Here is a 25,470-nt window from a genome sequence, read left to right as displayed (position 1 = left end):
GGTTTCAGTTCTGTCTTGTTTACTGCTATATCTGATCACCTTGCATTGTGCTTGGCATGTAGTAGCTGCTCAGTACATACCATTTGAATGAACAAATCAATCAATTAATCAATTAATCAGTTAATCAGCCAGTCGATGCAGGTGATGCCTGTTCCTAAATTCCTTTGGTCCCATTAGGTACTTTGCAACATTTCCATTTCTTCTGCTTCTGTTAGAAGGGACCTTTTTAAACTTGAAGGGCAGAGGCCCCCACGCAGCTCATGCAGATGGTGGTACTAACTGGAGAAGCAGTTACAGTTTTACCTAGCATGCATTTCTGTTGGAGCTCATTTCAAGTAAATGACTTATACTTTATGTCCACAGCAAAGAGGCCCACATTTGTGGCAATCTTGGTCAGTACAGTCAGGAAGGAAGTGTAGCTGAAGATCACTGAGGAACCAGAGAAATTAGTGTATACCTGGATTTAATGATCAATTTGCTTATGTTAAAAATACATTTGAATATGATTTACTGCCCTTCAGTTAATGCTAGTTCCTTGCTTGCAGCAGGACCAATCAAAAGGAGCTAAACCTTAAAACCCGGATGGAGATGTTGAAGGATTCTAGCTAAAGTTTATGCAATTAATTAGGCATCCCCTATTCAGAATACACTTTCTATTAGTGGCTTAGAATTGAAAGATATCGTACTCCCAGGAAAAGTACAAAGAGGACCACGAGATACATTGATAATGACCTTATCCTTAATTCATTCCACACATACTCAGTTAAGTGGCTTAAATAAGTGATAGAGATTTTAATTTAAATGCGAGAATATAAGTGGGCAAATATTTGAATTTAAGTGAAATTAACACAACGTGCCAAATATTGAATAAGAAACTGGAATATAGTTGGCATTGGATAATGTATTTGGTTTGAGATTTGGGTTTCCAAACTGAATATATAAATCAATGGGCAGATATACAGTGAACACAAATATAAATAAACACAGTTCCATGTTTACTGTTTATAATATGTCCCCCCAAATATGTGCAGAAGTGGAATGTGAAGGCAATATACAACTTTTTTGTTAGGTTGGGGGCAGGGGATTCTGAAAGCTACAAAGTATCAAACCATTTATTCATTGCATCCTATCTTTAAGATACAGTTTTCATCAATATATTTTCAATGTTTATACATGTTACTTAGTTCTGTTCTTTTTCTACTCAAATGATTATACAGTTGATTAATGTCACATGGACTTTCATTGTGATTCTTCTTTTAGCTCTGCCTATTCACATTATTAATAAAACCATGAAAATTAAATTAATATGACCTTATCATTGTAATCACTACTTTCATTTTTGCATTTTTCTACTCACTTTTACCAAAAAAAAGGAACAAGATGGGAAAACAAAAATTACATAAAAACTTCAGCGTATGGGGAAAAACAGAGTTGTCTCTAAAAAGGATCTGCTCTCGGCATGGTAGCATCAGAGCATCTACTCAATTGTCAGCCATAAATGAAGTTCAGAATTGGACACACCTTCACAGTCTTCCATATGCCAAAGCGGATTGTTCCAACATCAGATGACTCCCTGCCATGTATTCCTTGTTAGTTTCCTATGCTAAATACTAGTAAGATACCAAAGGATGTTAGAAATCTGAGGAGAAGTTGCCTAGGATTTAGAGATCACTCCTAGTCTAATATCAGTAGGTTTTTAGGATTACAGGTTATTCAAGGGCTGCTTCCTGTGTGTAGAGGTTGTATTATGAGTCCTGAAAGGAGAGAGAGGAAAAGAGTCTGCCATATTCAGAATAAAAAGGCAACGAAGACGGAGTGTTTTGCGGATTGCCAGATAAGTCTTTTCTGACCGTTCCCAATCCTGAAAGTTCTAACATGGGGACTGCTTGGTCTTTGAAGGAGGTGAATTGCAGTAAACAAATCATGAATTATCATCTGCAGTAGATTTGAAAGTCTTTGAGTGAATATAACTGGGGGATGTAACCTTAACTTTCAGATAAGTTTCTAAACAGTTCAGCATATCATTTTAAAATGAGCAATGGATGTTTAATGAAGAAAATATGAAATTCAGGTTATCATGTAAATTACAGGTAAACAAACAAAAGGGAAATACAAAAGTGACCTATACTCTAATCACCCAAACAGAATCACTGTTAACAAGTTGGCAAAATTCTTTCTGGGATTTCCTAGGCATCTGTAGTCCAACTTAGCTCTATGTTTATTTAACTACATTTATGCATACAAATACTTTTCTTTACAAAATGGTGTGACTTTATTCTGTAACCTGCTGCTTTGCATAGAAATAAATGATGAGCATGTTTTATGTCTCTAACTACACATTTATCTTGTCTTAATGGCTGCTTGGCATTCATTTCTTGGGCTATAGCTTCACAGATTTAGCTACTAGATAGTCTCCAATTATATGCAATAGCACATATACCTTTGTGCCGTTTTTCGTACATATATCTTTGTACATTCATTAAATAATTTCCTTAGGATAAGATTTTTCACAAATTAAATTAATAGGTCAGAAGTATATATTTTTAATACATATGAGGTGTGTTGGAGAATTATCTTTTAGAAAATTTATATCAGTTTATATTCTCACCAGCAGTATATGAGGGAATCTGTTCTAATCAGACATTCTCAACACAAGGCTTTATCATTCTTTTTAATTGTTGCCAACCTAATAGATGGTAGACTCTACTAATTTGCATTTTTTGATTACTTAGTAAGGTTGAATTTTTTTCATGTTTATTGACCTTTTTCTCTTGCCTCTTTATGTTCATTTAGCCCTGGTATTTGGTATGATTTCTCCTAATGCTTTGCAAGTTAATAACTTATTCATTAATTCACTCATTTATTCATTTATTCATTTACTTATCTACATCTCTTTCTTTTCTGTGTGTTGTAATCTCATCCCCCCCATACTCTGAGCTTTAATTTGATTTATGGTATTTTGTGGCATATAAAAATCTTTCCGTTTTATTTAGCCAAATTTACCAATCTTTTCAATTATAATTTTAGACCTGAACAATTTGGGATCTCTGTAAATTCAGTTATTCATCTGCATATTCAAGCTAAAATAGAGCAGTGGCTTAGAAACCATCTTTCCTAAAACTATGACAATGCCATTTACAGTAAGAGTCAATGAAATGGGGGGAGAGTCATTCAATGTTCAGAATAGAAAGATTTAGAAGAATGGCAAAGTTGAGCATCATACCTTTATGAAGTGAATTGTGTCCTTCTCAAAATCCTTGTTTTAGCCCTCACCTCCAGTCTGACTGTATTTGAAGATAAGGCGTTTTTTTTAGGGTTAAATGATGTCATAAGGATGGGGCCCTAATCCAACAAAACTGACATCCTTATAAGAAGAGGAAGAGACAGCGGAGCTTGCTCTCTCTGCCCTGTGAAGACATGGTGAGGAGAAGGCTGTCTGCAAACCGGGAAGAGAGCCCTCACCAGAAAACAACCCCTCCAGCACCTTGACCTTGGATTTCCAGGCCCCAGAACTGTGAGAAGTTAAATTTCTGTTAAGACTCCCAGTTATGGCAGCCAAGCAGACTAATCCACTTAGGCTGATGCAGTCACCAGTTCTGCTGGGCACAATTCTAAGATGCCTCCCAAAATGCTCACTTGGCCCTGGCGCCTACACACCATCTGCCAGTTGTTTACTCAAGCACTGATTTCAGTGCTGCTGCAATGGGATTTGGTTATAATTAAGGTCCTGGATCAGTTGCCATTCAAATGGGGAGATAATCTGGGTGGGCCTATTTAAACACATGAGCCTTGCTTTTAGAAAGACCCCTACAGCTAGTCACAGAGGAGGCGGCTAGAGAGACTTTGGATGGCCTCTAGGAAAGCAGACCTCCTTGTCATGAACTGCCTGGGGGCCACATGTAAAGAACTGCAGGTGCCTCTAGCTGAGAGCTAAAAGGAAAGAAAGACCCGAGTCCTACCACCACAGGGCCCTGAGTTCTAACAGCCACTGAGCTTGGAGGAGGACTCTAAGCCCAAGAAAGAAATATAGCCCAGCCAAACTCTTGGGTCCCTGAGCTGTGAGTCCGATTAAGCTGAGCCTGGACTTCTGACCCACTGGAACTGGAAGATAATGCATTTGCATTGTCTTACACTGGTAGGTTTATAGGATTTTGTCACATTGAAATGGAGAGTGAATGTGTCAGTGTTTACATCCCTGCGGAGCAAGGAGGGTGCCAGCTACGGAGGTGGAGTAGGGGGCCTGGCTCTGCAGCTGGGGCATCGCAGACAGCGGTTTGGCTAACGGTGCAGCTGATCTTCGCAAGTTCCCACCCTGCTCCTCATGAAACACAGTTGCGCCTCGAACAATATGGGCCTGAACTGCAAGGGTCCACCCAATGCATATTGAAAATACAGAATTGAAGGAAGAGGAAGGGGAGTCCCGCATATACAGAGGGCTCTCCCATACAGATGAGTGGAAATGCCACCGGGTGAAATCTGTTGGAACATCCATACAGAAGCAAAATATTAGGGAAACAACAGGTTACAGAATCCTCCTTGAACATTTTTTCTTTCAGAGAAGTCAAGTGTGTAGGTATTTGGAGCTAGGCTAGGTGATAAGAGGGACGTAAGGAATGTGGTGTCTGTCTTACATGTGAATATTGAGGACCCAGTATCTACAGCCACAAAGTGACGACCAGGTATCACCCAGCAGCAAACTTCTGAAAGTCACGCTCTGAGAAGCCTCTGCCTCCGATCTGGGGCCTTCACCTTTCCAGGGGCCCACCCCATCCCTCCTCCCAGCCTTCTGCTACCTGTCTCTCCACTTCTTCTACAAGCACCCTCTCCAAAACTGCCACATGTTCTCCTGACTTTGTGTCTCTGTGGGATTGCCTCTATGATGTATCAGGAGGACGTGTGGTTCAGGGGCCAACTGAAACACCATGTCCTTTGGTTTTTCGTGAAGCCATCCCCCATTTCCTGGAACCAAAATAGATCCCACAGCACTTCCTGTGTACCCTGATACCTAACAAAATGTTTTAAAGATTGCTTTAGCTGGAGATTCTTACATATGTGTGTCCTCCTGGGACAGTGAGTCTGGCAACCAACCCTCGCTGATTCTTTCCCTCCCTCCCCCCGTCTCGCAGCAGCTGGCCAACTGCCCCTTCTCCAGCAGGTGCTCCCTGCAGGCTTGTGAAATACACTGGAGGGCAATTGTCTGGCTCAGACTCATGTTGCCATCAGCAAATGACCACGTTTAAGAATGTTATGTCACCTCTATATTTGGCCTGCATTATTCATATAAATATGCTTGGTAGACAAGGGACAGAAGGCACTTGTGTCGGAGAAAGACAGTTTAAAGGGCAACGACCTAACACACTATAAAATACAGGGAGTGGGGAGTGGGGTGGAGGGAGCAAGCCACGCGGCTGCCAGGCAGGGCCCTGCTCCCCTGGGTGCACTTCCTCCCTGCTCCCGTGGGTGCACTTCCTCCCTGTCCAGGGAGTGCACTCGCTTCATTGCCCAGTGCGACTGGGTCTGCTTTGCAGGGGCCATATCTGTCTGATTGTGCTTGGGCAGATTTCTCTTGTCTCCACCTAGCTGGGGTGATTCAAGTAGGAAAAAAGAAAACCCTCCTGCACAGATTGTGCGATCATTTCATTTCCTTGCCTTTGTTTGTCATTTCTCCTGTCTGAAAAAACAGGGAATCCACTAAAGGCCAGAACATTGTACTCTGCTTCCATCCTCATGAAATCTTGGCTTTTCTTTGCAGGAAGCATCCAAAATAACACAGGATTGGTCCTGGGGTCCCAGGCAAAAGTGAGAGGTCAGAAGGGTCTCCATGGTTCTCACTCCTCTCTCTGTGACCTTCACTAGCTCACTTCCTTCCTGCCCAGTTCTCATTCTCTCGTCCATCTTTTCTTTGTCTTCCTGTGGATGAATACATGCGTGAACATAAGACTAAAGGCAAAAGTCTCAATGGAATCTATCAAACTGTTCATTGTTAACCACTTTCCTGTAGGTTGGGTGGGGGAGGTTTTACTTTCACTTTATTCATTTCCTTCCTTCCTTCCTTCCTTCCTTCCTTCCTTCCCTCCTTCCTTCCTTTCTTTTCTGTCGGAGTCTTACTCTCGCTCAAACTGGAGTGCAATGGTGCAATCTCAGCTCACTGCAACCTCCGTCTCCCAGGTACAAGTGATTCTCCTGCCTCAGCCTCCTGAGTAGCTGGGATTACAGGCATCCACCACTATACCCAGCTAATTTGTGTGTGTGTGTGTGTGTGTGTATATATGTATATACACACACAAACACATACCTATATATATATATATTTAATAGAGAAAGGGTTTCACCATGTTGGCCAGGCTGGTCTTGAACTCCTGATTTCAGGTGATCCGCCTGCCTCAGCCTCCCAAAGTGCTGGGATTACAAGTGTGAGCTGCAGCACCTGGCCTATTAATTTCTGTATTTGATTTTTTTTACAGCACATGAAATAGTTTTGATGTTTAAATGAAGGAAACAAAAGCAGTGCTTTCGATAGCCCAAGCTTATCTTTCCTAAATGAACCCAAACCTCACAGTTATTCCCTTTACCTCCCACTCCCGATCACACTTGTCCCAGGTGGATCACGTCCGAGACCAGCACTCCATGAATTTTAGGAGCCAGAGCGGACCGTGAAGGTGTCCTGGTAGCTGAGGTCCTATGGCTACTCATGAAATTTTAGTGAGCCATGGCTTGCCTGAGGCTGTGGCCCGCAAAGTCTGAAGGGAGTCACCTCCTTCAAATCCACTGAGCAAGGCCTGGGGAGTAATGGGAGGTCCCCCGTCTGACTCACACCTGACACCAGCAACTGCCCGGGGACGGTGAGGGACCATGGGGTCAGCCTCAGACTCTCTGCACATGTTTGCTGGCCAACGTTCCAGCCAGCGGGCCTGGACTGGAGGGCTGGGATGGAGAGGGTGGGGCAGGAAGGCAGAGCCTGCCCTGAGGGAACCGGGAGGTGTTCCGCGCAGGCTCTGCTGCTTTCTGACGTGTGACCGTGTGCACAGGATTTGTCCCAAGTCCCACCTGCCTCTTCTGGAAAGTGGAGCGATGAGGTGAGCAGGCACAGAGGTCACAAGGAGAATTCAGGGATCCAGAGACCCCCAGAGCTTGCCCTGTGCCCATGCTGCAGTGGGCACTCTCCTGGCATGGCCACGTCTGTCACCTGTGATGCTCACAGCCTGCTCACTACTAGAAGGCTTTAATTTTCTGAAGCAGTGATATTTAATTTATTTGAAATTTCAAATGTCATTAAAAGACACGTGCTATTTTTAGGCTAGGAATTTAAAATGCTTCCAAAATGCCTCATCCCCATCGCTCTTATTGCAAGCATGTATTAGCTGTTCTCACGCCTGCTGAGAATGCCCTGTGACTGAAGCAGGGGCTGCTTCTGGGGGACAGTGCAGCCACCATGTGGGTCAATATAAGGAAATCAGGATGATACAAGTGATGTGGGTTTGCACCATCATCCTGGCTGCTCTGTGTGCTTACGTGTGTATAACATTGACACGAGGAAATAGATGCCTGTAGCAGATGGGGATTTAGCTAGAAAGCAGGAGGCAGAGCACGATGAGTATGGTGCAGTATCTCCAGCAGACCTATACTGGGCAGAAACCTCACAGCTCTGTCCAAAGGGAGCTTCATCCCTCCAATGGCCATTCCCCTGCAGTCCGTGAACCCCCAGGATAGCTGCACCGCATCAGCAGAACAATTGCAGTGCCTTTACAGTGAAGGAACACAGGCTCCAGCTGTCAGCTCCATCTCAAAACCTACCCACCCCACTCATCCTGCACACGCTGCCCCAGCCCCACGCCCCAGAGGCTGCCCAAGCACCTAGCGAAGCCCTCCAGGATGCTTGGCTCTGGGCCTGTTGTTTCAAGCCCTGCCCTGCCTTCTGGCTGCTGGATGGGGAATTGCAGTGAGATTCCTTCCCTCCGAAGCTCCATCTGGTGCAACATCTGGAGCTGGTCCCCCAGCATAGGAGGATGTGAGTGGGATGATGAATGGCACCTCAGAAGTGTGCTGTTGGGGAGGGCCCACCTGTTTACCAACATGATTGCAAAACTTAAATAGCTCTGGGGATTCTGAACTGCTCTTCTTGGGGGGCTCCCCACCGAGAGCATTTTAGGCCCTGTGCATAGCAGGATTATAAAAAAGTCATATTTAAGACTTGATCATGCTTCTGGCATTTGGAAGGAAATGGATGGATGAAGAAGAAACAGAAAAGATTATAGAGAACTGGAAAACAACAATTTAACTGCTAGGATAGGAATCCCAAATGTTATAGGGGAAGTTCTGGGATGAAGAGAAGACGGAGCAGTGGCTGCCACTGACTCAGTGATGTGTAGGACATGGGGAAGCCGGGATTGTGGACACTCCCCACCGTGGTACCCCCCGCTCCAGTGGTACCCTCCACCGCCCCCGGCATGGGCAGCTCAGACCACCGGGAAAGTTCCAGCAGGCAGATACACTGCTTCCCACACAAGCTCATTGGGGGAAGGCGGCTCTTTTTTTCTCATTGTTACAATATGATTTGATTCGTGGTGTTGTAATGATTAGCAAGCAGAACCAATGCGGTTTCTTTCCCCAGCATCGCTTGAAACTACAGCAAACTGTCCAGAGAAGGGATCACAGTGGGATTCTGATGCCTTATTATGATGTCACCTTCACGGGGAGGTTTAGAGGTTTGCTTTTGTTTTGCTGTTCTAAGAAAAAAAGAATGTGCCATTTGGACATTTCACCTTCAATTTGGAACTTAAAAATTTAGTCCATAAACAGGAAATAAACAGAACTTTTGAGAGCTCCCTCTCTCATTTGGCAAGGCCCCCCACTTGCCCTCAGCACTTGGGCACCCACCTTGACTTACAGAGGAAGCCCTGGAAACAGCCAAGGATGGGGGAAACCAATCCTGGGAGAACAGGGGGACTCGCCTGCCAACCTGCTGACCTCTGGGACCAAATACCAGGGCTCCGTGGAGACGTGGCTTTTTCTGGGAGGATATACTGAAAAACAGAGCAAAAGGGGAATTGTTTGCTGTGTGAGATTGCCAAGTCAGCCCTAGGAAAGAAAGGCCCGAGGGCACATCTGCAGAAGGACTGGAGGGTCAGTCTGAGCTCATATTTGCCAAGTCTCCAAAGAATGGGCATCTTATGGTCTCAGCACGAGGGAGAAGAGAGAATTTCACCTAGGATGGCTTCCAGTAAGCACCTGCGATGTCTGGGTTCTCTCCATTCCCAGGCCTGAGAGCGGCTGCACAGTCCTGATTCCTGGAGCGCTGGCCCAGGCCAGGTCCTCCATGTCATCCCCTTTCATATCTACATTTATTCATGCAGACGCGGACTCTGAGCAAAGTGTCAGGAACCTGGTGATTCAAGTTGGGAGAATCCACCAAAGTGCTTTCCCCCCCATGATTCACTCGCTTGGGCCTCTCTGGAGGCTCTTCCTCCCCATTCTCCTCTTAAAGGCCAGGAGAGAGGCTGGCAAGGTCGCCTGTCTCCCTCCTCCACACCTGTTCCCAGATAGCTGCTTCCTGCCGGGACTCCGTGATCTTGTCTGCAATGGGTCCAGATCTGTAGACTGTCATCTAACCCCTAGATTCCTACAGCGGACTGACTACCACTGTCCGTGCATAGCAAGGTTGTCCCTAAAGCTCAGACGATGGCCTCCCCAGTGCTTCCCCAGAACCCGATGTGGTTTTCAGTAGAGGCTTCTTCCATGGAAGCTGCCAACATGTGTCCCACCTGCCGGCATTAGACCTGGGGCACCTGATTGCTTCTGCCCGCCCCAGGATGCTTGCCCCAGGCCTCCCCCATCCATCCAGGTCACCTCCTCCCTAGACCTTCTCAGCAGCCCCTGGCTGGTCTCTGAGCTGCGGGCTTTCTGTTCCTGGACTGCCCTTCACCCTGTCCCCAGAGCCTCCTCAGCACTGATCTGATTTTGTCACTGCATTCCTGCGCTTGTAAGCCTGTGACTGGCAATACTGTCACTTCTTAGAAAGCATTTTGGTCTCGACACGGTTCACACAGGCAATGCCCCGCCATCAATGCTTCCAGTTGTGTTCGACGGGAAGCAGACAGTAGCAGTGACGGCTCTTGGTGCTCACCCAGACCTCCCTTGCTGGGAGGTTGTCACTGATGGAGGCAGGTACACACATAGCCATCCCCTTGCCCTCCCTCAGGGACCAGCTGTGAAGTGCATTGCATGCTTTCACTTCCAGATGGCATTCGACTGCAGCTGGTCTCCAGTTGGGACCACATCAGTGCCTCCTGTCTCCCCTGCCCCAGGCCGCTTCCCTCCCTCCTCCTATTAACATCATGCTCCCCAATAATCCCCACAGCCCCGCCTCAGCCTCTGCTTCTGGGGAACCTGACCTAAGGCAACAACAACATTTCCCTGGGGCTGAGGAGGCAGGCATGCTTTTAAAGAGGCTTTTCCATCACCTTTGAGCATCACCTGCCCACGAGATCAACCCCACACATTTGAGTTTGGCACACGACACATTGCATGGCCTGGCACGGCCTTTCTTTCCTGCCTTCATCTTTCACCTCTCTATACCCTGTTCTTTGACCTTAGCCTGGGGTTCTCCACAGAAACCACACTGTTGGACTCTTTTATGCCTTGGTGCATCCTAGATGTCACATTACAGTAGTTTGGAGAGACTTTTCTTAGGTGTAAGTGAGATAAAGGGGTTGCTGGAGGTGCTGGCTACAGGACAGTGACAGAGAAAGCAGTGGGGTAGGCTTGCCACATGGAAGAGAGCAGGTGAAGGAGGAGACATAATTTTTTCACAGGAGGCAGCTGCTGCCTGTCCAGCACATGAACCAGGGGTACAGGGATGGGGTGCGACCAGCAGCTAATCTAACTGGTGTATCTTCACATTGCATGTTACCATCAGGATGGAGAGAACAGGTGCTCTCTGGACCCTCTGTCTCCCAGCCTGACTCTTCCCAAGACTGTGAGCACCTACAGAGCAGGCCTCAGTCCATAACCTTGGTATTCTTGTGTTGAGTTTTATGCCCGCTGCAATGCTAGACTGAGATGCCTCTTGTATGGAAAATATTTCTTAGGAGTTTAGCAAATTTATGTCATTGGCTGATATTTCAGGCCAATCCATTCTGGGATTAGAACATTATCAGGAGGTAACCTTAGGGTTCACTTAGTTCCGGCAAAACCTCTTAACTTCAGTTCCCTCATCTATAAGAATAAGGGATTCATTTGTGATCACATAGCTCAGGTAATCCAGGACCAGAAACCCAGGAGCATGGGACCTGATCCACAGCTAGAGGATGGGGGACTCTGTAGCTACAGCATTTTCCTGAACACACAAGAAATCCAGTAAGCAGCACACACTGGCTGAATCGGCTTTCCAATCAGAAACAAGCCCTTGACTTGCCAGAGTTGGAAGACTGCAAGTACCTGCCCAAATGTCCACCCAACAGATAAACTCCCTGTTACGTACATAATTACAAGCATTCTTTACCTGACAGTCCCATGGCTGGACAAGCCAAGCTAAGTTTTCAGTGTACATAAAAAGCATAAAACCTGATGAAGTGGCCTGCCTAAAAATTAATGTGATGGCCGCAATTGCAGCTTTTGTGGCCCTGATGTTAGTCTTTGAACGAGTCTGCCTTCTGGATCAAGTGAACTTTTACTCTGGGATTATAGAAAACAAAGTAAGTGATCTCAACTCCCTGCCGCTTATACAAGAGGAGAGTTGTTACTTTTACTTTATTTTATTTTAAGATGGAGTTTTGCTTGCCCAGGCTGGAGTGCAATGGCGGGATCTCGGCTCACTGCAACCTCTGCTTCCTAGGTTCAAGCCTCCTAAGTAGCAGGGATTACAGGTATGCACCACCATGCCCAGCTAATTTTTTGTATTTTTAGTAGAGACCGGGTTTCACCATGTTGGTCAGGCTGGTCTCAAACTCCTGATCTCAGGCGATCTGCCCGCCTCGGCCTCCCAATATGCTGGGATTACAGTAGTGAGTCACTGAGCCTGGCCTTATTACTTTTAGATAAAAGGCACTTGTTAAATCAGCCATTTCACATCCATTGATAAAGATGGGTGCTTCTGAAATGGCCACAGCTGACAGCCAATACACCTGCAGGTCCACCCTCTGCTGGTCATTTTCTGACCACAGTAAGTGCTCAGCAGCCATCCCCAGAGCAGGGGTCAGCAAAATTCTACATCAAGGGTCAAATAGTAAATATTTTAGGCTTTCCAGGACCTACAGTTTTTGTATCAACTACTCAACTCTCCTTTTACCTGAAGCAATAGTCAACACATAGATGAACGGGTGTGACTGTGTACCAATAAAACTTTATTTACAAAACAGCAGGCCCCGGGGCCATAGTTTGCTGACTCCCGCCATTGTGTAGCCTGAAGTGGAGCTCAGAAGCAGGGGCTCCAGCCGTGGGTGGCAAACTCTCAAACCCAATGACACCAACAGTATCTTTGGTTAGAGCATTTAGAGTTTTAGCCATAGTTCAATTAGCAGCTGATGATTTGTTCGTCGATCAGCCCAAGCATGTGAAACATAATTGTTCCTTCAATTCCCATCAGCCAGGAGGTGACAGGGAAATGACCTATTAGCTGACTTCAGGCAGCAGGAAAAGTCCAGAGTTGGCGGCTGCCATTGCTATATTTGTTGGTGATCCAAGAGAAGGGTGGTAACTATGACCAAGAAGAAAAGGTCTAGGGGAACTATTCCTTATATTGTGGAAATATTCCATACTTCGCTGGGATATTTTCACTGAAATCATTTTGAACTGAGAACCAGGGCCATTCCTCTGACTGTAAAGCTTTGTAGAATGTATTCAATTCTGCATGTTACTGATGGGTGCTAACCTTTTGTGTGTGTTTGTGTGATGTTCGAGCTTAAGGGATCTCTGGACAATAATAATGATAATTCAGCTGCCTGGGATCTTGATGAAACCCATCCACTCCTTCCCACCTTTCCCACATCAGATCTTCTACAAAGCAAACTGATGCTTTCAGTAAAATATTACTGATGCAATCCAAGAAACAGAAAAAACAGCCCACCAATTTACTCCCATTTGAACCCCTGAAGCCTGTTCACAGTATTACCACATTGTTTTTGAAGTTTACAGAACAAAACCATAGATGGAACCCAAGAATTCTTCTAGTTGAAGCCCATTTTAGAGCTAGATTGACTGAAGTCTAAGGTGATGTGATTTATGTGATTTCCCCACTTTCAAATATCTCCTAAGAAATGGCCATAGAATGTATGAGATTTCTTTTTAAAAGAACTTTACTCATACTGCATACATGTATGTACACACACACACATGCACGCACACACACCTGCACACACACCAAAGCTCAGGATCTCCTTTGAAGGAGTATTCGAGCTCACGAATGGTGAGAGCCTGTGTGGCTCAGGCCCTCTGCAGAGCCAGGGCAGAGAGACAGATGCCATTTTGGGGACAATTTAGGCTGCACAGCTGCTCTCTCTGAACTGCCAACAGCTGAACCAAAATGCTCAGGAGGTGGGCTGGGCAGCCCTGGGCTGTGGGCACAGTGTCCTTGGGTATTTACAATCCCTCGATCCTTGCCTGATTGGTTTTCCATAGGCAGGGCTTCGTCCAAGTTCCTAGGGTCGCAATACCATTCTCATTAGAAGGTTCCTCTTGAGAGACACCATGGAGCAGGGAAGGTCTTGGGTGTCCTCCCATCTCATTAGCCCTTCCCCTAGGTGCCTGTGTTTCCCATCCCAGTGGGGATCCAAAGCATGTCCTGGGCATTGGGTAAGGGTTTAGAACCTTGTCCCCACCTGCATATGATAGACATGGGGAGGGACAGGATCAGGAGGTTGCTAGGTAGAGCCTGCAGGTGCCTTTCCCTGAACTCGGTTATGTGGCTGAGTTCTTCAGAGAAATAGTCAGGAGCTAAGGGGTTAAACAAGCATCCCTCCCTGCAGAGACAGGCAGGTCAGAGGCTGCATCTGTTAAATTAGGGTCCAGGCCACAGAGGTAATACCTACCACTCTAAACTGTTAGCCTTCCAATACTACACTCCAGTTCTGGGAGTGAGTAGCTGTGTGTCCAGAGATAGAAGCCATAAGCACTTGAGTTACAGAACTGCTGAGAAATTGGTCTGATGGTCTAGTAACCTTGTGCCAGGAGAACAGTTCCTACGTAGAAACTGGTCAGCATTTTCTTCTGAAAACGTAATCATGATTGCAGTGAGTGTAAACTTCCATTTATATGCCAGGAACCTATAAGTTTCAGAATGTGTCTGATCCCTGAAGACATCCCTTCTCTCAGACGGCTGGCCCTTGCCCCACTGTTGCTGGGTTGTGTATAATCTGTATGTCCAGTCAACCTCAGCTCTCAGCCTCTGAGCCCAGGGGACAGAAGGTCGTGGCTTTAAATGTTCACTTAAATATTGTCAAGGTAGTATGTTTATTGTGTACTCCCAATGGTTGTCTTAGAAAACCAAGGATGGTGTCATCCTTAGACTTAAGGGGCCCCAGGCCTGGCAGTGCCTTCCTTCAGAGTTCTAAGCTCCAATGCCTGTGTGTGGCCTGGCTCACAGAGCCATCTGAGCAGGACCCCTGAGCCCAGCTTGTCTTCCCCTCTTGGATGTTCTCCAACCCTCTACCCACCCGCCCCATGCATGAGTCAACCAGATGCCCTGAGGAGCTCTGGGACTTGCACCTACAGGGTCATCCCGAGGCCCTGTGGCCAGATAGGCACCAATCCTAGGAGAGTGGGGAGGTGAGCTCATCTCTTTTGCAGGCCGGCATGGTATTTCTTTGGCAGGATGCTGTGAGACTGGGTCCCAGAACAGTGCTGGCCTGTTCATTTTGGATGACTCAAATTGCTTTTTAAACAGGAGTTTTGAAAAAAGTATTTGGCCAGGCCCAGAGTACTATAGGGGCAGCCCTGACCAGGGAAACATTAATATACCCTCTCCCAAAATACAAATCTCTTTTAGACTGTTGCCAGCAGTCTCAGGAATGATCAATACTAGTGGTTGAGACTAGAGGGACCATTAAGTAAGTGGAGTTGATCTTTATTGGATATAGCTGGCCCTCTTTGGTAAGATGTGATCAGAAGAAAAATTCAGGCAGCAGGCTACATAATCTTCATAGAAAGTAAATTTCAAATGCATCATACAAAATTCACAGACAAACACATATAATTGCTTAATTGCTTCCTTGTTTAATAAAATGTCTTTCCTGATCAATACCTCTTAACAAGTTGACCAAACCAGGTATAGTTTAGCTTCCTGATCAGATTTAGACCTTGAATTTAATGGAGGTATAGATAGGTAGGTAGGTAGGTAGATAGATAACCCATGAATGTTGAAGAATTGTGTCTATATTAAAATTTAGCCAAAGGAGACCAGAGTAATATAATAAATTTGTTCCTATGGGAAAAGCAGTTTAAGCAAACATGTGCCCCATTGGTGGGTGGGGAGGTGTGTATTGGTGCTATTTTTTGTACAGCATTACATTGTTTCCCTGGTGGGGAAGAACAGGTTAGCTTTATAATTTTGGGAGAGCAATTTAATTTAAAAGATATACCCTCACTGGGATAATTAAATCCTGATGTGTGAGGTTCTTTCAAATGGAAGATTTGCTTAAGGTGTTCACATTTTGGTTATTCTGAACATTTCTACTTGCTGTATTGCGGAGTCACGATACTGAAGGGCACACAGGTTTTTGTATCTCACATATGTGACACATCCTTATCTAAAATTTCAGAGCCAAGAGAAAAGAAGGAATCAGATAGTGATAACCCAGTGAGGTATCTGCTGCACAGTCTGCCTCTCCAACTTTGCTGAGGAAACTCGAAAGTATGGAAAGCCAGGAGCCCAGCACAGGTCCCTTCCCAGCTTCTGTCTCTTAGCCTGGCAGAGACTTCAGAGGAAGAACTCCCTGAGAACGGGAAGTCATTCTCTAGTTGTCTTGTGCTTCGTGTTTGCTTTTCATTGTCTTTTTCAAAGTAATGTATGCACAACGTGGGTAACACTGACTTTTATTGGCTCATATTGACAAAAACAGTAGTCCCCTGCCTCTCTCCTCCTGAACTCTGGCCTTGCTCCCCAATTGCTAATATGTTCAATGATTTTTGCTATTTCTTACCAACAACTACTTTAATATTTCTCCATAACATGCTTAAATATTTGTACTTATTTGGGCCGGGTGCGGTGGCTCATGCCTGTAATCCCAGCACTTTGGGAGGCCGAGGCAGGTGAATCACCTGAGGTCGGGAGTTCGAGACCAGCCTGACCAACATGGAGAAATTCCGTCTCTACTAAAAATGCAAAATTAGCTGGGCGTGGTGGCACATGCCTGTAATCCCAACTACTCAGGAGTCTGAGGCAGGAGAATGGCTTGAACCCGGGAGGCGGAGGTTGCGGTGAGCTGAGATCGCGCCATTGCACTCCAGCCTGGGCAACAAGAACACAACTCTATCTCAAAAAATATATTATATACATATATATGTATATAATATATTTTTATATATATACATATATTTATATATACATATATATTTATACTTATTTATTTAGATATTATGCATTGCTTTCCTACTGTAATAGATGAAGATTAACTCTTCCGTATTACTTTTCACCCAATTTCACCTTCCCCCATACTCCCATATAATTATGTTTCAATTTTGGTTAAACCAATATGAGATGATTGCATTGTTGCTGAACAAGAGGTACAATATTACGTTCTCTTTTTGTATACAAAGACTATTAATTTAGAGACCTAGAGCTTTCAGATCTTGGAGGGGTTCTTCTATCTCAATAACTACCCAACCCCCATTTTCTTTTCTCAGAGTTCATGGAATTGAATAATCTGGATGGATATTCTAATTTTTAAAATTTCTTTTTTCCATTTATTTTAATTCTGCATTCTGGGGGGTTTCCTCACCTTTATTTTTCAGCCTGTCTATTGGCTGTAAATTTGGCTACCATTCATTTAATTGCTAAGGTCTCTTGTCCTGTTTCTTCCTTTTTTAAAAAAAATCTCCTAAATTTCTGAATGCAAAACATTACTATATTTTGAGGCTATTCCTAAGAAACAGATTTTGTTCTTTTTGAATTCTTTTTCTCTCTGCATTTTCTCTATTTTGTAATTTTAAACGTTTATTCATTTAGTCTCTGTCTTTATGAAACAACATTCCTCAAAGGTCTGGTGGTATCTGTCTGTCTCAGTAGAATAATAAAAGCTGAATAGAATTTTGGGGGCTGAGAGTAGAGCTTGTCCACTAGCAGGTGTTACTGTGATTAAGCAGCGAGTCAGCTTTTAAACTGAGGACTCTCCTATTTGATGGACTTTTCTCTGGAGCCCCCTCATTTTCCCAGGGCGGAATCCCTCAACCTCTTGCCCAGGGAAGATAGCTGGGCTGCTGCTGCTCTAGAACACGGGTCGGGAGGAGGAGGCTGGGAAGGGTGTCTCACTCTTCCATGCAAGCACTTGCACACTGTCCCATCTTCAACTCAGAGCCTCCTCCCATTCCCCGCTGGGACTGGAGTCTCTGAGACCTGAATACCTTAGGTTCAGTTCCTCCAGAGAGTCAACCTCCCATCTCGTGTGTTACTGGAGGAGGGTTTTTGCCCAGGTGCCTGGGCTGAGGGAAGGGATCAGAATGCGCCTTATTCAGACTTTCAACCTTCCTGCATATTCACTTGCTCACCTGGTTTCTGCCCTTCCCCGCACCCGGACCCTCCCATCCCCGAGCTCCTGCTCCGTGGTTCCTGACACCTCTCTTGGCCTCTCCTTGGCGTTCATCCTCGCCAGGTACTTCGGTTCCTGTTTCTTCAGTTCCACCAAACCAGCCAGTGTTCTCCCACCCACGGTCTGTCTTTGATTACAGGTGTTGAAATGTTAGGTCTGATCTGCTGTTCTCTCTTCTCACTCCTCTTCCTGTGGATTTTTACCTGTTTATTCATTTAGTGTTATTTTGGTGGATTTTCAGCAGTAAAGAGGAAATAAATACGTATTAAATCCAGAAGAATCCAGAATGTTTAAATGGAAGTCTTTCATCTTGTCTGCTTTTATTCAGATCAAATGGATCAGATGACTTAAATCAAAAGGTAATATTTATGAGACACAAAGAATTACTCTCTCCTCTCAACAAAAATAAAGCCTCCGCCTCTAACATCATCCAGTCTGCCTCCCAGACATGAACTTGTGCACAAAGATGTCAGGGAGCCATCAGGCACGGCACTGCCTAAAAAGCCCATGTGGCATAAAGAATTTGTAGCACAAAGCGCTACAAATACAGGGTCCTTCTCTACAGGTTATTCACACTGATCTTCCCGACAGCACTATTAGTTGGTAATATGTCTATATTGCAGATTAAAAAAATCAGATGGCCAGTCGCAGTGTCTCACACCTGTAATCCCAGCACTTTGGAAGGCCAAGGCAGGAGGATTTCTTCAGCCCAGGAGTTCCAGCCCAGCCTGGGCAACATAGGGAGATCTCGTCTCTACCAAAAATCAGAAAGTTAGCTGGGTATGGTGGCACATGCCTTTAGTATCCCTCTACTTGGGAGGCTGAGGTGGAGGATCCCTTGATCCCAGCAGGGTCAAGGCGGCAGTGAGCCCTGATCATACCACTGCACTCCAGCCTGGCCAACAGAGCAAGATCCTGTCTCAAAAATAAAAATAAAAATAAAATAAAATACATCAGACATAGAGCGGTTAATTGGCTACCCAATCCAGAACACTAAGTAGCAAAAATAGGACTTGAACCCAGGACCTCCAGGTGTTTCTGGGTGTTCTTTGAGTTCCTCCATCCTGAATCAATAGTCAAGTATCATGTATAAATGGAGCCACAGTCCTCAAGGATAAACACTAACTGCTTGTAGGCCACTGCAGGCCATTCAGTACAGTGTTTTATTGTGCTGAAAAGTCACCTGTTTCCAGAAGTGCTTCCCCAATGCAGGCTTTCTAAAGTCATCATGTAGAGTAAATTATTTTCCCCTAACAAACTATGCTAAAATGAGCAGGATGGGCAGGAAGTGCTTGTGTGGTCTACATTGTATACAACTATCATGGAAAGTTCAACTCATGGGACACTTGGGTTATCTGGAGGACACATGGCCGTGAGAGGATGTGGCGCTTAGAAGCTCCCTTCATCACTTGCTTGGCCCTCATTCATGCATGGTGAGGAGTGGGTGGGAAAAGTTATAGAAGCCAGTAGCCAAACCCGGTATACCCAAATGTTTAGCTTAGATTGAAGCTTTGGTGTTTCTAATATGTACATTCGACTCACTTCCAGAAGACAGAGATGGGGGACTTGAAAACTAGCTTAGCAGAGAGTTAGTTAATCCTAAACCTACCTCGTTCTGTCACCTTGGCGATGAAATGACTATCCTAATACAGTCAGAAGAGGACTTAATAATCAGCCAGGCAGGTGCGGGGAGGGAATGCCAGAAACATGCAAAACCGCTGACAGCAAGAAGTTTCCATACTTTTGGGGGTGACTGTGCATAACTAAGTGCCTACAATTCCCAAATTAAAAATTCCAGTTCCTTTACAACCAGCAGTGGCAGGTCTACTCAGGGGCAGTCAGGAGGCTCCCACAAGTGCAGCTGTCCAGCACTGCACCACACCTTTCTCTTTTCTCAAATAGAAAAGGTTTTATATAATAGATATATCCAAAAATGTAGAGGTCATAAAAACAACAGCAGATAAAGCTGTATCCTTGTTGGTTTTATTTGTTTGCTTTTGGTGTTATGTTTAGGGTAACATGATTGCTGCTGATAAGAACACATTACCTTTGTAATCCCAGCACTTTGGGAGGCTGAGGCAGGTGGATCACGTGAGGTCAGGAGTTTGAGACCAGCCTGGCCAACATGGTGAAACCCTGTCTCTACTAAAAATACAAAAATTAGCTGGGCATGGTGGCTCATGCCTGTAATCCCAGCTACTTGGGAGGCTGAGGCGGGAGAATCGCTTGAACCCAGGAGGCAGAGGTTGCAGTGAGCCGAGATCATACCATCGCACCCCAGCCTGGGTGACAAGAGTGAAACTCCATCTCAAAAACAAAACAAAACAAAAAAACACCTGTGTAGAGCAAGTTCACCTTTTCATAGCACATGCAGAAAGCACACCTCTGTGAGTTTGCAAAGAGAACAGCCCTCTTCTGCTGTGTGACATTTCAGAAGATGGAGGCTCAGAAGCTTCAAGTCTTATTTTGCTACCAGGACAGAAACAGAAGCCAAATCTTTAGGCTTCAGATTTACCTTTTTTTCCTAAGAGTGGGACATCATATTTAATTTTCCAGGTCAAAGACCAGCGCTTGAGTTGATCATAGATCTTCTCAGAGAAGTCATCTGAAAGGGAAGTAGTCTGTTTTCTTAGTCACCTGAAAAGCCATAGAATAAGATAAGGCTTAGAATAAGAAAATATTGGTTTCTCCATGAGAAGAAGGAAGAGAAAACCAAGTTGAACCATTTAAGTCTCAGTTGAGTTGAAATACTCAAGTGACAAAATAATCTGAAAATTAAAAGTATGGTGTATCTCTAAACAATTATTTTAGCAAACATACTCTGGTTAAAAATGTATTCTAAAGAAGGTTTTATTTAATTATAAATATCTATATTTTGTTTTTCACCTCTTCCAAAAGGGTAGAATAAAGTAGGAAAATGCACTTGGGTTCATCTCGAAACTCAGAGGCAGCGTGGTGTGGGGCAGAGGGCTAGCATGGGAGGTGGGAGGCCTGGTGTTGGCCCGGGAACCCGCACTGACCAGCCTGTGGCCAGGGCCTCATCTGAGTGGAGGGAGGCCTTGGTCTAGAACTGAGATTCACCATATAAGCTCCCCAGTCTGCTTGTGGACCAGGAGTGTCTTGGGAATGGGAACCAAACTAATCCAAAGATGAAGTTCAACTCTTTGGTTCTTATGAAGTGAATAACCCACAATTCCATAGACATTCATTTTTCTATACACTTAAGGGTTACAAAAGGAGTTATTAAATGTGAATAACCTCTTGAATATATAAAATTAGACTGCAGTTACAGTTTTCCCAGGATCCATTCTGTATTCCCTGGAATCCAGCTTGCACCAAGAGCCTGGCACACTCTGGAGCTTTTGCTTCACCCAGCAGGTACGGAGTCAAACTCGACACCTGGAATCTGTGTGTTGCTAGTGTTGAGTGGAGCTCAACACCTGGGATCTGCATTGCTAACATTGAGTGGAATTTAACACCTGGAATCTGTGCATTGCTAGGGTCGAGTGGAACTTGACACCTGGAATCTGCATTGCTAGCATTGAGTCAAACTTGACACCTGGAATCTGATCATTGCTGGTGTTGAGTGGAACTCTACACCTGGAGTCTGACTAGCATTGAGTGGAACTTGCTAGTGTTGTGTGGAACTTGACACCCAGAATGCATGCATTGCTAGTGCTGTAAGGAACTTGACACCCAGAATTTATGCGTTGCTGGCATTGAGTGGAACTTAACACCGGAATCTGTGCATTGCTAGGGTCGAGTGGAACTCTACACTTGGAATCTGCATTGCTAGCATTGAGTCGAACTTGACACCTGGAATCTGATCATTGCTAGTGTTGAGTGGAACTCTACACCTGGAGTCTGACTAGTGTTGAATGGAACTTGCTAGTGTTGTATGGAACTTGACACCCAGAATTTATGCGTTGCTAGTGTTGAGTGGAACTCTACACCTGGAGTCTGACTAGCGTTGAGTGGAACTTGCTAGTGTTGAATGGAACTTGACATCCAGAATTTATGCGTTGCTAGTGTTGAGTAGAACTCAACACCCAGACTCTGTGTGTTGCTAGTGTTGAGTCGAGCTGGACACCTAGAATCTGTGTGTTGCTCATGTTTGGGGTTTGTACTTCAATTATTTTACTTGCTCATGGCTTTTTGTTGTAATTGTTTTTTGTTTCTTTTTTATTTAAAAATCATCCTTTAATTATCTTTAGTATCTTCAATTTCATTCGCTGGCTTAACCAGATAGTCCACAATTATGTGTTAGAGAGACATATCTGTTCTGAAAAATATTTTTAGCCCTCAAATTTTTTCAAAACTAATTTGCAAGATGTATACGCACTGTAGTTCAAATGTAAATCATCAGTGTCCTGATTACTGAGGCAGATGTATCAATAAGATCGCCAGATTTGCTAGTGCAATGATGCTTCCTTATACAGCAAATTATTTTTCCTATGGGGATGGTGGGGAGATGGATTTGGAGGTGATTTATCCTATAAGAGCAGGTTTGGAAAGTTAATTAGCCTCTGGAGAAGGTTCCAGGATCTCTGGGGCTGGGTGGAGCTATAGGGGTGGGAAGTACCTGGGCCACTACTGTGCAGGTGTGTGAGTGAGGATGGCTCCCTGTGCTTGGCCCCTCTCACTACAGGGCACGCCTTCTTCCTGCCAGCTGTCCTCAGAGACAAGAGTCTCACTCAGCTTCAGCTCAGGCCCGCTCTCTACTGAGCCTTCCACCTGGACTTCCAAGTGGAAACACCCCAAAGATCCTCATCCCTTTCCTCCACTCGATGCCTGGTTTGGCTACCACCCGTAAGTGTGGTGTTCTGCCTGGCCCCGCCAAACCTCTTCCAGGCACCCAAGGTCTGGCCTCTGCTCAGGTTCAGGTCTTGGGCCATCGTGTATTTTCCTTCTCAGAATAGGTGCCTGGGTTGTTCTGACTATGGTCTAAGAGTCTTCCCTGCCCTGCCCTGCCCTGTCTCGCCCTGCTGTCCCCTTCCCTCCCCTCCCCTCCACTCCCCTCCTTCTCTTTCTCTCTCTCCCCCGCTCCCTCCCTCCTTCCTCCAGGAATTAAGACATTGAACATTCTGTCTCATTTCCATGATTTTTCAAACAGTGCCAAAAGAGCCAGCAAATGACTGTGCGATTATCTCCACCATCCTGTTTAAAACATTGTCGTTGTGTTTGACTTGATGTGGTCCTTCATCTTGACCATGACGTTTGTTTTACTGCTTCCTTGACGTATAATTTACATACCATAAAATCTACCCTTTTAAAGGGTATGATTAGATGGTTTTTAGTATTTTCAGAGAATTGTGGAACCATCACCCCAGTCTAATTTTAGAATATTTTCATCATCCAAAATAGAAATCCCGTATCCATTAGCAGTCACTTCCCATTCATCCTTCCCCCAGCCTTCAGCAGCCTCTACTCTGCTTTCTGTCTCTGTGGATTTGCCTACTCTGGCCGTGTCATATAAATGGAGTCATTTGGACTTTTGTGAATGGCTTCTTTCATGGAGGGTACTGTTTTCAAGATTCATCCGTGTTATAGAATATATCTAAACTCCATTCCTTTTTATGGCCAATAATATTCCACTGTATGCACCTGTCACACTGTTCATCCATCCATCAGTTGCTGGACACTTCCTGGCTGGTTTTCACTATTCAGCTGGTATGAATGAGGCTGCTATGAACTGTTATGCTCAAGTTTTTATGTGGATATAACTGTTAGATTTATAATCATTCTAATTAGCCATTTTGTACTTTTAAAGGAAACTGGGTATTTTATTCCTCAGAATGAAAGAGGAGACTCGAACTTCTAAACATAAATTGTGTTTGAAAATATTGGAGCTTCCTTATCCTACCATAAAACACTCAGTTTAAAATGAGCAGTTTTAAGATACTTGGTTTTGTTCCAACTAATACCTCTCCTGCCTTTTTTTTTGTCAATTTATTTTTGTTATTAAAATTTCTTCTGCTGTTGGCACCCCCAGAACAATATATTCTTCAATAGTTTAAAGGAGCTGCTTCCTCACTGGGATGTGGCCCCTTCTTCCTTCTTTTAATTACAGCGTTATTAAACTCCTCCAGGTTGACACTTTCTTTCATTCTCTATTTTAGATTTGTCAATCAGAGGTGCTCCATGAAGCAGCTCCTTAGTGCTGGGGGAAATGCAAAGCCATGGCGTGTCACTGTGGGTGCAAACCTGCTTCTGGAGCTGTGACATTCTTGGGGAGGGAGGGCTGTGAAGGGTCATCTTGGAGGGCCCACCCCTGCATCTCACCTGTGAGCCATCCTTCTCAGAGGATGAGAGAGTGGATAAGAGCTCAGGAGTTGCAAGGGAGCATTGCGGGAGCACTGTGCATCATAAGAGGGGAGGATGAAACCGACAAAGACGGGCACCTGGCAGGGAGTGCTAGTAAACTGAGGCGTGGAATACAGAAACAATCCTCCCCCGAAGAACTTTTGAAAATATTGTACAGACCCAGGGCACCCTCCCTGACCTACAGAAGCCAAAACCCCAGTGTGGGAGCACAGTATGTACGTTTAGAAAAGTTTTCATATGGCCGGGCTCAGTGGCTCATGCCTATAATCCCAGCAATTTGGGAGTCTGAGGCAGGTGGATCACCTGAGGTCAGGAGTTCAAGACCAGCCTGGCCAACATGGCGAAACCCTGTCTCTACTAAAAATACAAAAATTAGCCAGGCATGGTGGCGGGTGCCTGTAATCCCAGCTACTTGGGAGGCTGAGGCAGAAGAATTGTTTGAACCCAGGAGGCGGAGGTTGCAGTGAGCTGAGATTGCATCACTACACTCTAGCCTGAGCGACAGAGTGAGATTCCATCTTAAAAAAATAAAAAGGCAGAGGTTGCAGTGAACCGAGATCACACCACTGCACTCCAGCCTGGGTGACTGTCTCAAAAAACAAAACAAAACAATACAAAAATTTTAAGTATGTGTGGGGCTCATGTGCTGAGTTTGGTGGGGGAAATCTTTCCATGCACCCCCACAACTGTCTACAATATGAAAACAATCTTCAAGAAAACACCAGCGAACAGACCATTCATCTTTCCCTGTTGCCACATTTTATCTTGGTCTCAGGCTGCTGACCTGTCAGATGATTAACAAATGGAAACCATATGGTGGCTCAGAGGGACCAGGCGTGGTATGTGCTGCATTGAGGAGAGGGTGGGTAGGCAAATAGAAGTTAAGCTGGAAGAGAACAGCTACTGAAAGCTACTGAACTGCTACTGAAAGCTGGAAGAGAACAAAAAACTACTGTATACTCTTCTTCCAGTTTTACCAACTGTTAACATTTGCTTTGTCACTCTCTGTATGTCCATACATATTATTATTACTTTCCTGCACTGTTTGAGAGTAAGTTGCAGAGATCATATCCTTTTATATCAAAATACTTGAATGCGTACTTTCTGAGGACACATTTTCCCTTCTAGAATCACATTCCAATCATCAAAATCAGAAAATTTAACATACATACAGTAGTATCCTACATACAGTACGGATTCATGTCTTTTATGGAATGTCACCCATGAAAGACCTCCCCATCAGCGGCATACATTGCATCTGGTGGATGTCATGTCTTTTAAGTCTAATTTAATCTGGAATAATTTCTTAACCTTTTTTTGTCTTTCAAGATGTTGGCATTTTTGACAGCCAGTTGTTACCTAGTGTTTCTCTGTGATAGATACAGGATATGCATATTTGTCAGGACTA

General features: G+C 44.8%; 1 protein-coding gene and 1 long non-coding RNA gene across 22 annotated transcripts in view; both read left to right on the top strand.

Annotated features, from left to right (window-relative positions):
• The window catches only part of ACTR3C (actin related protein 3C), a 442,186-nt gene that overhangs the window by 368,079 nt on the left and 48,637 nt on the right, over positions 1-25,470 (top strand). The gene's annotated exons all lie outside the window — the stretch shown is intronic.
• On the top strand, positions 4,922-24,330 carry LOC124901772 (uncharacterized). Its single transcript, XR_007060586.1, has 3 exons — positions 4,922-4,932; positions 9,985-9,987; positions 23,509-24,330. It is a non-coding gene; the product is annotated as an uncharacterized LOC124901772 (long non-coding RNA).

The sequence above is a fragment of the Homo sapiens genome, chromosome 7 (assembly GCF_000001405.40).
Source record: "Homo sapiens chromosome 7, GRCh38.p14 Primary Assembly".
Lineage (NCBI taxonomy): Eukaryota > Metazoa > Chordata > Mammalia > Primates > Hominidae > Homo > Homo sapiens.
Note: the sequence above shows the minus strand (reverse complement) of the source record. Positions and strands in the feature narration are given on the sequence as shown.